Consider the following 14,752-nt stretch of genomic DNA (forward strand, 5'->3'; position numbering starts at 1 on the left):
TTCCAAGGGTCCAGAGAGGGTCTCCCTTCTGGGGCCGGCTCCAGACCTGCACAGAGAGGCACCCAGATGGGCCATGTTCTGAAAACCCAAGTGATTTCGCATAGAAAGGAAGCGTGTTTGTATAAGCCTACAATCTCACACACACTAAGAACTCCTGCTTAAACATCTATAAAACCCAAAGCAGCTCCATATTTCCGGCTGGGAAGCACACAACACATTAACACACAGCTTCCATGAAAGATGACAGGGCCACCCACGAAAAGACCTGGGGTGGCAGCTCCCTGTTTGCTCCGAGTTTTGCAGCCTCCCAGGTTTTCATGGAAGCAGATGGGACACAGAAAAGAATACTGATAATAGACCTGAGGGGGTGAAGGGGCATGAGCTAAAAAATCAGTGTCGGTGTCAAGAGTGTCCCCATACCTCCCCCACGGGGGTCGGGGATTCTGAGCATTTTGTATTAATACTTCAACTCCCGAGGGCCCAGATAACAGCAAGACAGGAGCCTTCTGAAAAGACAGACCCCATGCTGTGCCCTCTCACAGGCAAATACAGCGCCAGGTAGAAACCTTATCAAGAATTATAGGCTTCACAATGTCTTTCCAGAAAGCCCCGCTTTGGAGGCGCCTAAGGAAACACGAGCAGCCTCAGCAGCAAATGAAAAGCAGCAACACAGAGGTTCTGCTCCTTCCTCCAGGAACGCACCCAGCAGAGCCATGCAACAGAGCGGGCATGAGAGAGATGCCCACCCAGAGGAGCCAAAACCCACTTGCTCCAATAAAAAACAACAATTAGCCAGGCATGATGGTGTGCACCTGTAGTCCCACCTACTCGGGAGGCTGAGGCAGGAGCATCGCTTGAACCCGGGAGAGGGAGGTTGCAGTGAGCTGAGATCATGCCACTGCACCCCAGCCTGGGTGACAGAGCAAGACTCCATCTCCAAAAAAAAAAAAACAACAACAACATTAAAACTTCCCCCAAAACTGGAGAAGTAAATAAGCTTACCAGGAAGATTTCTTAATGACCTTTTACTCCAAGCTAATTTAAATGATTTTGGTCTTGGCACTCATTGTGGATGGCTGTGTAATGATTTATGATGATTTTACAAGGCAAGTGATTCACAGGAAAGCCTCGTCCTTCCCCAGGCCCCAGTTCACTCCCCCACAAAAATGCTGAATCTGATATTCAAAGTATGAATGAAACACACTATTTATATCTAACTTAGTGACTGGATGTGGTATAAAAACCTTACAAGTGCGAACAATCATATAGAAAATACGTTTACAGGGAAGAAAAGAAAAACAACTAAAATCCTGGAAATTGGTGGCTCTGAAATAATTGTACAGACTCCCCTGGACCTCCAACGTTTGTCTATAAAGGATGTTAAATGTCAAGACACTTCTCCAGTTCGAGAGAATTCAACTGCCAGAAGCCAGCTCCAGAGACAGGATTCACCCAGGAGGAGCCCAGGCCTGGTCAGGGCCGTTAGAGACAGCCCTCGAGTGCAGCATGAAGCAAAAGGAGATTTGTTCTGTGCAAAGACTCACACCAATCACCAAAACCCTGTGCTCTAGGGCTATCAGCTCCTGCCTTCTTTCAGAGCAGCAGCTCCTGGGGTCTGCGCCCAGAGAAGCGGCCTCTGTGCCAGCCAGCTGTGTGCCAGCAGCTGTGCACCCGTCAGCGTGCAGGTCACAGGGTCATGGCCAACACAGGGCATTCAGCACAAAGTGCACACGTGCAGTTGGGAACCCTGGTCCCAGCCCTCATGCTCCCAGTCACCAGCCACATGCCTTTCTAGGCGTGTCCTTCACGCCCTCAACTCGTCCCCTCCTCTGTCAGGCACAGAGAAACAATAAGAAGAAGCCACATGTCACCGAAGCCCCTTGCAAATGCCTCCTTCTATAAAATCCAGTGACCCCCTCAGAGCCCACAGCATCCAGACCCCAGGGACATCCAGGCAAACACACACCTGGCACTTAGGCCCCTCTTCTCATCCCAGGCAGCTTCCTACCCTGCAGGTACCCTTCCAGGAGTGCTGGGGAAATACAGACACTCTCGCTCGTGGATCACCAGAGCCCCCAAATACAGCCCCATCTAGCCCAGCTCAGCAGCACAGCCTCGGCATCCTGGGCCATGACCACGGCTGAGCGGAAGATGGCACAGTATCAAGGAGCATGGCCCTTGTACATCTGAAAGGCCTTTGTGCCAGCATCGGACCCATCCAATCCTTGCACAGCCTTGACTCCCCGGTACCCCCGCCCTAGCTAGAGCCTGAACCCTGGCCCTCAGGCACCCGGTGACTAGAGAATGCAGTCTCCATTTCCTTAAACTCACTTAAAAGCTTTCCCCGAAACTTGCAGAGCCCTGCAATTTACAGGCAGACGTTCAAGGAGCAGCATCCACGATGCTCTGCGATCAACAAAGCAAGCTCTTCCTTCTTTCCTATTTCCTGCTCACTACCTCTCCGCCTGTCCCATCTTTCAAAAATAAGACCTGCTGTAAATCCCTGTGAGAACTGCACAGGATGTGTTTTTAGACTTAAGAACATTGTGAAGGGAAAGATACATAAATGTAGAAATAGAAAAAGTGCTGAGACAGTAACCAAGTTAAGCCCAAACCGCCATTATCTGAAGGACACGTGAGCAAAGCTGCCTCTGCCCAGGGGTTGATTAAGTGATCCCCTCCTGATGTCCACAGTTGACTAGCAAAGTTTCTCAAACCTTAAAGAAACAGTCAAAAATTAATTCCCTGCAACGAACTCTCCTAAGGGGTTACTCAGTGGCCAAATCAAAAGATCTCTGTAATCATTCTTTTTAGCTGCAGGCAAAAATTGCTATTTAAGACAAGGGCATCCCTTCCAAAAAAAGAACAAGAATGCTGTCCTCAGAGCTTCCAACTTCAAAACACGCCATGGGCGGCCGCCCCAATTAGGAGGATTATTGGGACGTCAGCGGCCCTGCTGGCACGACGGGCTGTGCTTTAAATCCCGCCAACCCCTGTAAGCCAGGAGGGTTTCGATGGGATGCCTCCTCCACCTTTATCCTGGTCCCTAGTGGGGCGTGCCTCACGTAGGAGCAGCGCCGTGTGATAAAGTGCTACCTACCTCAGTTCCAGCCGCAGACATTTCCGTCCTGGGCTGCTCTATTCCACTTTCTCAAACGCACGCCAAATACAAGTTGTTCCAACTCTCCCTGTAACACACGGGCCTGGAGATAACCAGCCTTATAAAACTTGTGCATGTGAGCCTGCCACCCAAACCACAGGGAATACGGAAAGGTTCTGCAACAACACAGATGCTCAGAGCCAAGGTGGAGGGTACAGCATGTGTCCAGCTGACATGCAATATGGCGCCCACGCACCTCGGACGGCAGGGACCCATCTGAACACATGGTGTGCCTGTGTGTTCAATCACAGATTTGTTGTTCTGGTAAGATGTATTACAAACTTTTTCCAAGGCTGGAACTGGGAACATGCCAGACAAAACCGTAATTTAATTGTTTAGGCATAAATATGACTTGCTGACTAGGGTTTTAAAGCAGATTTCCAATGGATCTCTTGCTGTATGTGAGTGTGTGTGAGTGTGTGTGTATGTGTGTGTGTTTCTCCAGAGATGTAATCAACAGTTCAAGGCCACTTTTTTTAAATGCCTTATATAATTTTTGAAATAAATTTTTTTATTTCATTTTGAAAAACTTAGGTAACAATCACATTTATTAAAAAACAGGAAGTAAAATGTTTGAAAAAACTGTTTACTCATAACATAAAAATACATTGTAACGGAGAAGGGGAGAGTCTGAAGAAAGGACAAAATATAAAGTAGAAAATATGTAGCTACATTTTAAAACTAACCATGTAAACATCAAAAACATCTAAAGACATATATATTAAGGCTGCTGCCATACCTTTGGATATTTTTCTTTTTCTTTTCCTTGTCTTTCTTTTTTTGCCTATATCATACAATTGAAATTAAATGACTTTCTCCAGATTACTTACATTTGCTAAATTTGGGATACATTTACTCTGTAGGCCAGTATTTCAACTAATCAATCCCTTCTGTAAGTGAGGAAGAACTGCCTTTTTGACCTAATAATACAGAGCAGAAAAGTCACTTCCTGACACACGCCCCGGTAAGCTGCTGAAACACTTCCCGGTGTGAAGAAATGTGTACCCAGGGTTAACCCCACTGACACTACAGAAACTTCTTTAGAAACAAGCACTGCAAAGCCTTGATACAACACATACAGCCAGAAAGAAAACCATGTTCACAAAGCCAGGGGGTATGTACAGCGCAAACATAGCGGAAGCAGTCTCTGTCCACATCCCCGAGGAACTTCAGGTGACGGCAGGCTCCTTAGAGGTGTTCCAGTCCTAGGGCGGTGCGGTCAGGGGCTAACGAGGGTATCCCTGCAACAAGCACTTCCTGAGCACCTACCAAGTGCAAGGCCTCGTATCAGGAGCCAGAGAATCTAAGATGACTCAAAAAAAGCACCCGGCTTCAAGGAACTCAAAGTCAGACAGGGAAGCATACTATTATCAAAGCGTGCTGGCAGCGCACCAGTAAGACAAGGAGAAGTTTCCAGAAGGCCAGGAGGGAAGCGATTCACTATATTTGCAAGGATTGGCCAGGTTTTCCCCTGGGAACCTGAGGCTCACCTGGGAACCACACTGGTGTGGCTTGAATTCTAAGTACTTTTCATGACCCAAGCACAAAACACCAGGTCCTCCCTGGCTCCTCCCTCCCCATCTCAGCAGTGCCCAGTAATAACCCCACATCCTGTCGGCTGCACCTCCCAACTCACTCTTGAATCCATGTGCCCAAGTCAAGCCAAAGCCATCGTTCCAGAGCACAGATGGGGCCGGTCTCCACCAGTCTCCCAGCCCTTCAGAGGCTCCCCAAGTCTGCAAGATGAAGCCAAACTCTTCACCTTGGCTTCTCAGGGTCTGAACCCCATAGCTGCCCTGGACCCCGGTGTCTAGAGCCCTGAGCCCTACTCCGGCCCAACAGCCTCCCAAGTACCCATGCTCATGCTCTCCTCTGGCCCTCAGGCCTGCGTCCCTGCCCCACCTGTCATGAGGCTGACCAACCACCACCCAGGTACAGTACAGCCTTCCTGACCTCCTTCAGCCAATGATAAGAGTCTGGTGACCCAACAAGTTGTGAGAGGCAGCCAGACTACCTGGGATTAAAACCCAGTTCTGCCACTACCTGAGGTCAGCTGTGTGACCCTGAGCAAGTGTCTTAGCCTCTCTATTCCTCAGTCCATTTCTTCATCTTTAAAATGTAAATGATAGCAATGATATCTATTTTATCATACTCCAGTAAAATTTAAATTAATGCATACAAGCCACAATGTTTACTACACTGTAAATCTTCAATCCATCTTAGACGGGATTAATAAGTAATTGTTCAATAAGTGAATGAAATATCAGTGCAAAGGTACTTGGTCACTGGCAATGACAATACATGGTTTAATAAATGCAAAAGGACAAAATAGCAGCTAGAAAGCTGGATTCAAAATAGCTAAATAGGAACACCTCTATATTCACTGGGCCCTTATGGTTTATACAACAACAGGTTATTTAACACAATTAAAAAGTCTTTGACCAACACCTATAATCATCTACAACGAGCACATTCAAACATATTGTAGCTCCAGAACTCTTCGTAGAAATTAAACCTCAATATGGACTGGATATTACAGGATATTTGAGAACTACTGTTACTTGTGTTAAGCTGGTAATATAGGAGAGTGGTCTTATTCTTTGGAGATGTGTAATGAAATATTTAGAGTTGGTTTTTACCAAAGAGAAAGAGAGAGACGGAGAGAAGGCAAATGTACCAGAATGTTAACAACTCATGAAACTAAAGGGGGGGGGGTGTTTATTTCTAACTCTTTCCATTTTTCCAAATTTGGCAAACTTTTCCTAAAAGTTAAAAAAATAAATCCTACTTGCCACTCCAGTAACACAAAAGCAAAGCAGCTCTGAGGGACCTGGTAGGCCTCTTCCCCTATCTGCCCCTCCCCCTCCCCCACTCCCCACCCTCCCCAGGCCCCACAGAAGCTCCAGGGCTGTAATAAATGCAGGTTGGGAAACTACCTTTAGTTAACTCAAGTTTTCCAAAGAAAGTCAAAGAAAAATCGTCTGAATAATAGGAACCTGGTTCAATTGAAAAGCAGTGTTTTATTTTAAAAGATCGCTTTCTGATGTTTTAGAGGCTTGCCCAAAGCCATTAAAGAAACCCACCCACGGGCTCCAGTTGCAAAGCCTTCTGTGGCCAACACGAACTCTCCCGAACATCAGCCAAAATTCAGTGTATTCTGGCATTCTGAGTGTATTCTGGCATTCCTAACTATCCTTCCCAGCACTTGACGAAGTAAAAAATCAGCAACGCGGTGCAGGTTTCCTCTTCCTTATTTTCAACAATAATGTTCTGACCAGTTAAATATGGCGTTATCAGGGAAAAACTGTAAAACATCTTACATTTTAAAATAATAACTATGTCTCTGAATCGACAGGAAATCTTGCCATTTTCTGCCTGTGAATTAAACCAGTACAAAACAAAAGCTGAATGGTTGTGTACTGATTTCCCTACAACTACCGAAGTTGACCTTATTAAAACCTTATCCCGAAAAAGGCACCGGAAGGCTAACCAAATATGCTCTCGTATTTAGAGTCATTTCCTCAACAATCGAACGCTTAAAGTTGCGGAAACCAAGCAAAGCTGACTGGGAGACACCAGGGAGGAACAAAGGAGCGAGAGGAAAACTGAAAGTCCCGTTTCCTGCACCAAGTCCCCACAAGCAGCATGTGTCAGGGGAGGGAAGCAAAGCTGAAGTGGGTGCTGCTTTCCAAATGCCTATCTAGCTTGGCATTTTTTTCAGTTCTGGTTCATGAATTAACCTTATCGCGGTCCCGAAACAGCCCTGGCTCCCCCGACGCCATGTGGCTTTACTTATCCCCGTCTGCGTCCTCTCTGACCACCTTCCGGGGGCGGGGGGGGCACCGATGTCAGCCCGGGATGGATGTCCGCGGGTGCAGGGGGGTGACAGCCCGGTCCTGCGCACATCTCCGCTGACAGGGCATTCCTCAGGAGGGGCTGGAGTGAACGGGAGGAATTGGGGAGGGAGGGAAAACGCCAAAAAGCTCAAAGCAGACAGAATGCTTCCGATATTTACAGGGCTGTCTGCAAAGGCGTATGATGGCTCCAAAAGGCAAATCATAAAATCTAAAAGAGCAACTACGCTGGTGCGTTTCTGAAGGACGACTCTCAGACACGGTTGGTCCCGGCCACAGCTACTACGGGGTCGGCGCAGAAGCCCGTGCGTGTGCTGAGTGGGTGCAAGGCCCAGTTGGTGTTTGAGTATACTGTGTGTGTTTGTTCTCCGGGAAACAATGAGACGGGCTTCACTAGTTACACTGTAGTATTATGAACCATGAATTAAAATACATCATTAACATCCTGGACAAGCTTATCTTACTACTGAGACAAAAAGCCTATTCTCTCAACAAATGGGGGAAAATTCCATCACAACAATGAAGAGTTCCTCTCCCTACAAACCATTCTGTACACCAGTAACAATTACAGGCTTATAGTCCCCAGACTGGGGTCCCGAAGAGCCCCATAAAGTGATGCATTCACTATTGGGAGAGTAAGTACGGCCGATGACAGGCCTGGAGGCGGCTGCTGTTCTCAGACCAATCAATAATCCATTATGAACCAGCTACATTTCCACTCTAAGAAGAAGAAATGAATAAAAGGCGACCAGAATCGGCAGCATTCACAAGAAACTCCACCCACCTCCCCCACTAGGGGAAAAAGGACACAAAACGCCACTATCCCAGGGAGCAGCCGCCAGCAGCAACGCGGCCCCCTGACCACAACAGACCTGATGTGGGGGCAGCCAGAGAACAATGTGCTTAGGTCTTTCTGCTCAAAACATTTATTCTAGAGGTAAGTCTCCAGCCGGCTTTGTTCAGAAAACGAGGTAGAGTGAAGGAGAATGACAAAGCCCCATTTTCTAAAACAAAGGTTGTCTTTACATTACTTAGCACCCCCCAAATAAATCAAAGCAAGTGCCAGCATGCTAGTCCCCAAATGTAAGGAACTGTCCGTAATAAGGCTTTAGTACGCGAACTCTGATCCTTTAAGCACAGCCTTCTCCGGCTCTGCACCTCAGACCACGGGCTGGAGTCATCATGCTATTTATAGCCAAAATGCATATATGACCTAAATGTTATTCTTCCGCAAGTAGGTTACCTTTTATGCAGTTGTTTACCACAAACTGTCAAAAAACCCAAATTAATTCCTGGTCCAAGAGGAAAGAGAGAACTCCATCTTCCACCTAAGTTCAAATAGAAGAACATTTGCTAAGAGTAAAGACAGTATCACAATATATTCTCGAAGTCCCTTGAACATCACCAGTATGAAGCTGCCCGTGTGTCCTTTTACTGAAATATGACCTGGGGGAGGAGGGGCAGCTGAATACACAATCTAATTATGGATTACATTCAGAAAAGTCCAAGAAAAAATGAGGAAGGATACGGAAATTTTCTTTCCACAGTCCTTACCATATCCTGGGAAATTCAAGATAGTTCTAGAGACTTTTTAATAAAGGAGTGTCCGTGTGAAAATGAAGAACAGGGGGTGGCTATTTTTATATCAGAAGGGAAGGAGCCTCGTTCCCTTTCTTTTGCTCTCCAAAATTATTGCATTACTGTTACTTGTCATTTACTATTTACTATTTTCCAAGTCTTAATACTAAGTAGTTGCTTTGCCAATCACTAAAAAAGTAAACTTCACAGAACTAAAAAATAACAGGATCCAGAGCCTGCTCCATAATTTTCTGCAGATAAATGTGCTGTTTAGAGCCCCTTCGTCTGCCACAAAGAGCTGGCGTTAGGGATTTGGAGGTAAATCCAGGCTTCTGGAGCAGCCAGCATTGCTAGTATAGTTAATGATCTTGTCAACATTTCCATTAAGAGCCCCATTTCCAGAAGCTTAGAATTGCATCTCCCCCAAACCCACGGCTCAGATGAAGTCCTGTGGTCACTGAGGGGCCGCTCTCCTTCCCACAAAAACAGAACAGATCACTCGCTATTCATTACAAAAGCCATGGAAGCACTGGGTTTTCACTTTGACTCCGTCTACATCTTACACTACAATAGTTAAAGCTAAAGTTGCGCATAACTCAGAAACACTGAAAACCTAGGGAACACCAGAGAAAATGAAAACTCATCAATTTCTATCTTTAAAACAAATATGGAAAATCAGAAGGCCTTCGATGAACTGCAGCAAGAACCCAATTTAGAAGTGGCTTAAAGATTTTACGGAGCCTAAACTCAAAACTGTGGAAACTGTTAACTAATTCAGTGTCTTAATATAAAATTTCTTAAAATTTTTCTTAGAAATGATCAGCAGTGAAAACAAAACAATGGTGCAGAAACTCGTATTTTTTAACTGGGTGACACTTCCTAGTCATTACTAAACATGCTTTTTCGAAATTTCTATGAGTTATCATAAAATATATTTTAACTGAAATTTGTTTCTACAAATAAGCTGTATATACTATGCCATGTAAACCAGCAGCAAAGAACAATGTTCGCCTCCCAAACACACAGTCCTATTTTCCAACCACTTGATTAAAACCAACATTTCTCTCCCAGTATAAGAATACAGATTGCAATTAATACCTATCTGACATTCTCTTGTCCCTCTGTGCTTTTTGTGAAAGACCCTAGAAGTCCCCACCATCAAATGAAAGAAAGAACTGTGCCCAAGAATACAAAGAGAGATAATTGTATGCAGTAAGCCATAAGGCATTCTGTTAAACATTACCTTCCGATGTAGTGCTGTTTAGCACAGAAGTCAGCGCCCAAAAAAATCCCTTCATTAAGAGCTCATAGAGGAAAAACAAACACGTCAATAATCAATTTTACCAAATTCTAAGCAATTGCTTACGCATTTTTTGTTAAAAGAAAAAAACAGATACGCTGAAACTAAGAAGATTTTGATAGGATAGCTGAAAGGCGTATTGTGCAAGGAATTACTTAAGATTTTGTTTATCATTGTACAAACACCAATCAATACTTTAAGATGATCAAAATTACAAAAGGACAAATCTTTCCCAAATGCTTTACTATATATAGCACATGTACTATAACCAGTTTAAATTTTCCAGCTCCATTACTGCCAATAACGACTGTAACATGACCTAGTTTATCACTAACATACACAGCACCTTTGAAAGCAGTTGGCTATTTCAGCTGCTTAAGGAGAGTGATCTATCAGAGAATGTTTACAAAGAGCAATTCCTGACAAAAACATGATGTCACATTTCCATAGGATTTACCCTGCACTGCCTGTCTAAAAATATTTTTTCAAACACACTTAATGACACATTACTGCAAGTTCCAGGCTTTGAAGATAAAAGAAGATCTATTCTTTCCTTGCAGGAAACAAAAAAGGATAAACAAGCAAAATTCCACTACAACTCCCTGTAACAATGTTGTTACATTATTCAGCTACAAAAGTTAAGAAAACTTTGCACCTGAAGTGATCATAAACAACCTTGCAGAAATGAGGGTGGGCACATTTTTCTAAGCCAAAACATCTTGCCCAGCAACAGCTTCTGGTAAAAATAAATTTAAAACGTAACAAGGCATAATGTTTAACTTCAGAATTGCCAACCCCCGCCCCATCCCCTTGGTCCCCAAAGAGGACAGTTATCTACCCTTTATCCCAGCCTGGGTTATATGGGAATAAACTGTCACACTTTAATGGGGGAAAGCTGTCCTAAGTCAAACAGAAAGACAAACAGCAGTCACACAGTTGCTTTGCGAACATTTTCCAAGAACTCGAAGACCATGACACTAATTCAGTGACTACATCTGGATAGTCCGTTTGGTCACAGAAGGTCCATGTTTGAAATTAAGGTCAGAACAGTCACGGGTTTACGCAGTGGAAGAATGCATTCATTCTACAACCACGGTCATTTTTCCTCTCTCTTTTCCTGCAACTTCTCTCCTACCCCAACCTGGAGGCACACAGCAACACACACAACCCTAGACTCCTTTTCTCTGATTTGTCCAATGCAAATGTTGTGAACAGTTGTGCAAGGCACTGCTCAGGGACAGATGGAGGCTGGAAAGGATCACTGCCGGCACAGGTGGGGGACTTCAAGGACTCAGGCCCACCTAGGCCTCCCTGCTCCCATTCAGCAGGGTGTAAGCACAGCCAAGGGCAGACAGGAGAGCCAGGAGAAGCCCCTGGCAGCCCAGGCTTGTGTTTCCAGATACTATCACATCTGATTCAAGAAAATTACATTCACCTTCATGAAAACAAACCACAGAAACAAGTACCTGGTGAAAGAAGAGACTACTTATAAACTTACTCTCAACAGGCACGTGAGATGCGCCAATGCAAGTCTGTGTCACAAAGAGTCTGCACTTACACACGTGACACGCTACACAGAGCTCTCCATGCACAAACCTCTGTGGGAGAGAAAGAAAATGAGCATGTGTGTGCAGCTTGCCCACCGAACCAAGGTACTGAAAAATGACTCCAAAGTGTGCTTCCACCTCGATTATCTAAATGAGCTGCTATTCCATTATTCTTTAATAAACACAATTGACAGCCAGAGAGACCATTGTTACCTCCCTGTTCCCCTCCCAGAGACTGGGCTCGGCATCCTCAAACAGTCAGGTATCGTCTGTAACTCAAGGAGGATGGTAGGACCCATCAATAATGAGATGCCACCAAACTCACTCCTTCCTTTGTCACTCCAGATAAAGACAGCATCAGTGCTCGCCCCTCTTCTCAGGAGCCCTGGCGAACGTGAAACAATAGATGCTCACTTTAGCTCACGCTCCTGGCCTGACTTCTTTGGCAGCTTAAACTGCTCAAGCAGAACCTTTTTCTGCCTTGCTAACTCTGGGGCGATGAGCAGTAGTGCCTATTCAGGGACCTTGCTGCAAAACAAAATCTGGATGACTAAGAATTGGAGGCAAGAGAGATAAGCACGCTGGAGACCTTGCTCAACTAAAGGCCCCAAAATCTTGCTTCCATTTTATCCATCAATAACTAAGGAGACTGTCATCCACTTAGCTGGTGTTAAGTCACATAAACTAGTGTGTTAAAAGTCGGCTCAGGGATTAGCCTATCCCGGCCAGCCTTCTGGGACCCACAGCTTCAAGCTAAGGAGTCCACCCAAGTCCAGAGCATCAGGACGCCCTCAATGTGCTTTGTAACTTTAGCCTGCCATCCACAGCCCAGGCTTCCTCCCGGGAATGTGTGTGTGGCTCATCCTCACTGGGCCACACAGTCAACCCCGACGGTCAGAATGAAGGCGCAGGTCGAGACTCTGCTGCTGCATCTTTATCTGGGTAACGTAACTCAGAAGGCAAAACTCACTGATTCACATGGGGGCTGGGGGGTGGGGGGGGGCCAGTGGCTCCATCCTAAACACAAATACTTTCTCAGCTTTACACTTAAAATCCTTTTTCCAAGCTATTCATGCAAACATATAATACTGCTTTCAATTTCTTGTTTTACGTTTACTCTGAGTTTTGTTGTTTTCCAAAATCACTTTGCTGCATTAAATATGCATCTGTTATATTGTGCTGTGAGGCTGGGTAAATCACGCACAGGTACCACCTGTTTTATCTGCAACAGTGGAAGCCACAGAAAGGGAAGACCACAGGCTTCAGATTTGTCATCAGGCTAAATTAAGCTGACAGCACAGGAGAAGGGTTATGCAGCCTGCCAGTAAGACAACACGCAGTGAACAAAAAGACATTCCCTTTTAAGCGTGTGTAGGTATATGTTTATTACACCACATGTATGTGGCAAAGAAAATGATCTACAAATGCTCCTTGCATGTAAGATTCCTTTCTGGAAAGTTCTCAACAAGGAGCTTCAGGATTTATAAACAATTTTAAGCTTTCTCTCCTTCTTAAACTGAACATATCTCCACTTTTGATAAGCAGAGCCATATTTGTTTTCTTTGAGAAGGGCAGTTATCTCAAACTAGTTCTTAAATCCCTTAAGGGAAACTACGTTAACTAAATAAGAAATCTTCCAAAACTAAATCCAAATGCAAAATCATGCTTTAAAGAGGGATGTGGGCGGCGTCTGTAATGCCAGCTCTTTGGGAGGCTGAGGCGGAAGGATCACCTGAGCCCAGGAGTTCAAGACCAGCCTGGGCAAAAATAACAAGATCCCATCTCTATATAAAGATTAAAAAATACAAATTAGCCGAGCGTGGCAGCGCATGCCTGTGGTCCCAGCTACTCAAGAGGCTGAGGCGGGAAGATCCCTGACGCCGGGGAGGTCGAGGCTGCAGTGAGCCATGATCATGCCACTGCACTCCATCCTAGGTGACTGACTCACATCCTGTCTCAAAATAAAAATAAAAAAGAGTGATATGGGGGCAACTCCCACCACTGACTTGGGTCTCAGGGACAGAAGGGTGCCAGAAATAATCAACATTTTTTTAAACCCAAGGAGGTTCCCTTTGTAAGAACATGTCGATCCAGTCTTGGAATCTAGCAGGAAAATTCCTTTCCATGCCACTCTCTGAAAGACAGCTCACTAGGACACAAATGGAAAATACTCTTTTACTTCTGCAGAGATAAGCTTCTTCTCACCTTCAAGGCCCAATGTACTTTGCAGCTACTTATTTGCAATGATATCCACCTCGGCTGGATACGTTTGCCTCACACATCAGGCGCACCATGGTTTTAAATACGCAGAGGGCCATTTTTCTCCTGACACTTCAATGCCATCATTTACTTAGCTAATAAGTGCCACGGTAGGTCCTCAGTTAACATCATCTATAGCTTCTTGGAAACTGTAACTTGATGCGAAATGACAAACAGAAATCCTTGATAAAGTCTTTTTGTTTTAAAGCTGATGTGGAAAGGAAACATGAGTTTCATTTTACGTCCTTTCACTTAAAGTTGCAGTTTCCAAAACCCTACAGACAGCACTGTGGACCCGCAGTGCATGGAGCTCCAATTCCTGACGGGCCCAAGTCCTCACAAAAAGGTGCTTTGCAAGGAAAATTATGAAAAAGAAAACGTCAGTGGGGTGGAGTTAAAAGGTTCCTATTTTCAAATACTCTTGCGCTTCTCTCCCAAGCAAGCATCCTGCACAAGGCTCGCTCTCCCTCCCAACACAGATGTTTCGGGGGGCATTTTCTAGACAGGTACGAAGGGAATCCCGTCCCTGAGAGGACCAAGGGCACAGGAGTAGTGCTCGGGACCCTCAGGACGGGGCATGCACTGTGGGCAACGCCAGGCCTCACCGTCGTGCGTGTGCATGCCTCACCGTCGTGCGTGTGCGTGCCTCACCGTCGTGTGTGCGTGCCTCACCGTCGTGTGTGCGTGCCTCACCGTCGTGCGTGTGCATGCCTGTAGGCAATGCCAGGCCTCACCGTCGTGCGTGTGTGTGCCTCGTGTGCGTGCCTCACCGTCGTGCGTGTGCGTGCCTCACCGTCGTGCGTGTGCGTGCCTCACCGTTGTGTGTGTGCATGCCTGTAGGCAATGCCAGGCCTCACCGTCGTGTGTGTGCGTGCCTGTGTGTAAAGGTTAGAGTGTGTGACAGTGAGTGTGGAAGCAGCTGGGTGAACATGAGAGAGACTGAGTGTCATGTGTGAGCATGTGCTAGTGTGCCCGAGGGTGTGTGTGTGTGTCTGAGAGAGCACATGTGTGTGATCTCTTAACCTACATAAAAGCACTCATTCAAATACCCTAC

General features: G+C 45.6%; 1 protein-coding gene across 16 annotated transcripts in view, besides 9 other annotated features; it reads right to left on the reverse strand.

Moving 5' to 3' along the window:
• The window catches only part of ZNF516 (zinc finger protein 516), a 138,738-nt gene that overhangs the window by 86,638 nt on the left and 37,348 nt on the right, over nt 1–14,752 (reverse strand). The window contains exon 1 of one of the 16 annotated variants that reach the window (XM_047437955.1): nt 6,901–14,746. The exons of 14 other annotated variants lie outside the window; for them this stretch is intronic. The gene's annotated coding sequence lies outside the window, so the exon portion shown is untranslated. One more of the 16 variants, XM_047437954.1, reaches the window with a different exon arrangement.
• Nucleotides 1,779–2,357: an enhancer, noted in NCBI's record as "H3K4me1 hESC enhancer chr18:74158054-74158632 (GRCh37/hg19 assembly coordinates)". NCBI's record gives its function as "activates a minimal SCP1, AML or CMV promoter by ChIP-STARR-seq in naive H9 embryonic stem cells {active_cell/tissue: H9 hESC(naive)}" and the evidence as "EXISTENCE:reporter gene assay evidence [ECO:0000049][PMID:30033119]".
• Nucleotides 2,358–2,936: an enhancer, noted in NCBI's record as "H3K4me1 hESC enhancer chr18:74158633-74159211 (GRCh37/hg19 assembly coordinates)". NCBI's record gives its function as "activates a minimal SCP1, AML or CMV promoter by ChIP-STARR-seq in naive H9 embryonic stem cells {active_cell/tissue: H9 hESC(naive)}" and the evidence as "EXISTENCE:reporter gene assay evidence [ECO:0000049][PMID:30033119]".
• Nucleotides 2,937–3,514: an enhancer, noted in NCBI's record as "H3K4me1 hESC enhancer chr18:74159212-74159789 (GRCh37/hg19 assembly coordinates)". NCBI's record gives its function as "activates a minimal SCP1, AML or CMV promoter by ChIP-STARR-seq in primed H9 embryonic stem cells {active_cell/tissue: H9 hESC(primed)}" and the evidence as "EXISTENCE:reporter gene assay evidence [ECO:0000049][PMID:30033119]".
• Nucleotides 4,400–4,901: an enhancer, noted in NCBI's record as "H3K4me1 hESC enhancer chr18:74160675-74161176 (GRCh37/hg19 assembly coordinates)". NCBI's record gives its function as "activates a minimal SCP1, AML or CMV promoter by ChIP-STARR-seq in naive H9 embryonic stem cells {active_cell/tissue: H9 hESC(naive)}" and the evidence as "EXISTENCE:reporter gene assay evidence [ECO:0000049][PMID:30033119]".
• Nucleotides 4,902–5,401: an enhancer, noted in NCBI's record as "H3K4me1 hESC enhancer chr18:74161177-74161676 (GRCh37/hg19 assembly coordinates)". NCBI's record gives its function as "activates a minimal SCP1, AML or CMV promoter by ChIP-STARR-seq in naive H9 embryonic stem cells {active_cell/tissue: H9 hESC(naive)}" and the evidence as "EXISTENCE:reporter gene assay evidence [ECO:0000049][PMID:30033119]".
• Nucleotides 11,776–11,855: a silencer, noted in NCBI's record as "silent region_9552". NCBI's record gives its function as "represses an Ori minimal core promoter by ATAC-STARR-seq in GM12878 lymphoblastoid cells {active_cell/tissue: GM12878}" and the evidence as "EXISTENCE:reporter gene assay evidence [ECO:0000049][PMID:35858748]".
• Nucleotides 11,876–11,935: a silencer, noted in NCBI's record as "silent region_9553". NCBI's record gives its function as "represses an Ori minimal core promoter by ATAC-STARR-seq in GM12878 lymphoblastoid cells {active_cell/tissue: GM12878}" and the evidence as "EXISTENCE:reporter gene assay evidence [ECO:0000049][PMID:35858748]".
• Nucleotides 12,772–13,273: an enhancer, noted in NCBI's record as "H3K4me1 hESC enhancer chr18:74169047-74169548 (GRCh37/hg19 assembly coordinates)". NCBI's record gives its function as "activates a minimal SCP1, AML or CMV promoter by ChIP-STARR-seq in naive H9 embryonic stem cells {active_cell/tissue: H9 hESC(naive)}" and the evidence as "EXISTENCE:reporter gene assay evidence [ECO:0000049][PMID:30033119]".
• Nucleotides 13,274–13,773: an enhancer, noted in NCBI's record as "H3K4me1 hESC enhancer chr18:74169549-74170048 (GRCh37/hg19 assembly coordinates)". NCBI's record gives its function as "activates a minimal SCP1, AML or CMV promoter by ChIP-STARR-seq in naive H9 embryonic stem cells {active_cell/tissue: H9 hESC(naive)}" and the evidence as "EXISTENCE:reporter gene assay evidence [ECO:0000049][PMID:30033119]".

The sequence above is a fragment of the Homo sapiens genome, chromosome 18 (genome assembly GCF_000001405.40).
Source record: "Homo sapiens chromosome 18, GRCh38.p14 Primary Assembly".
NCBI lineage: Eukaryota > Metazoa > Chordata > Mammalia > Primates > Hominidae > Homo > Homo sapiens.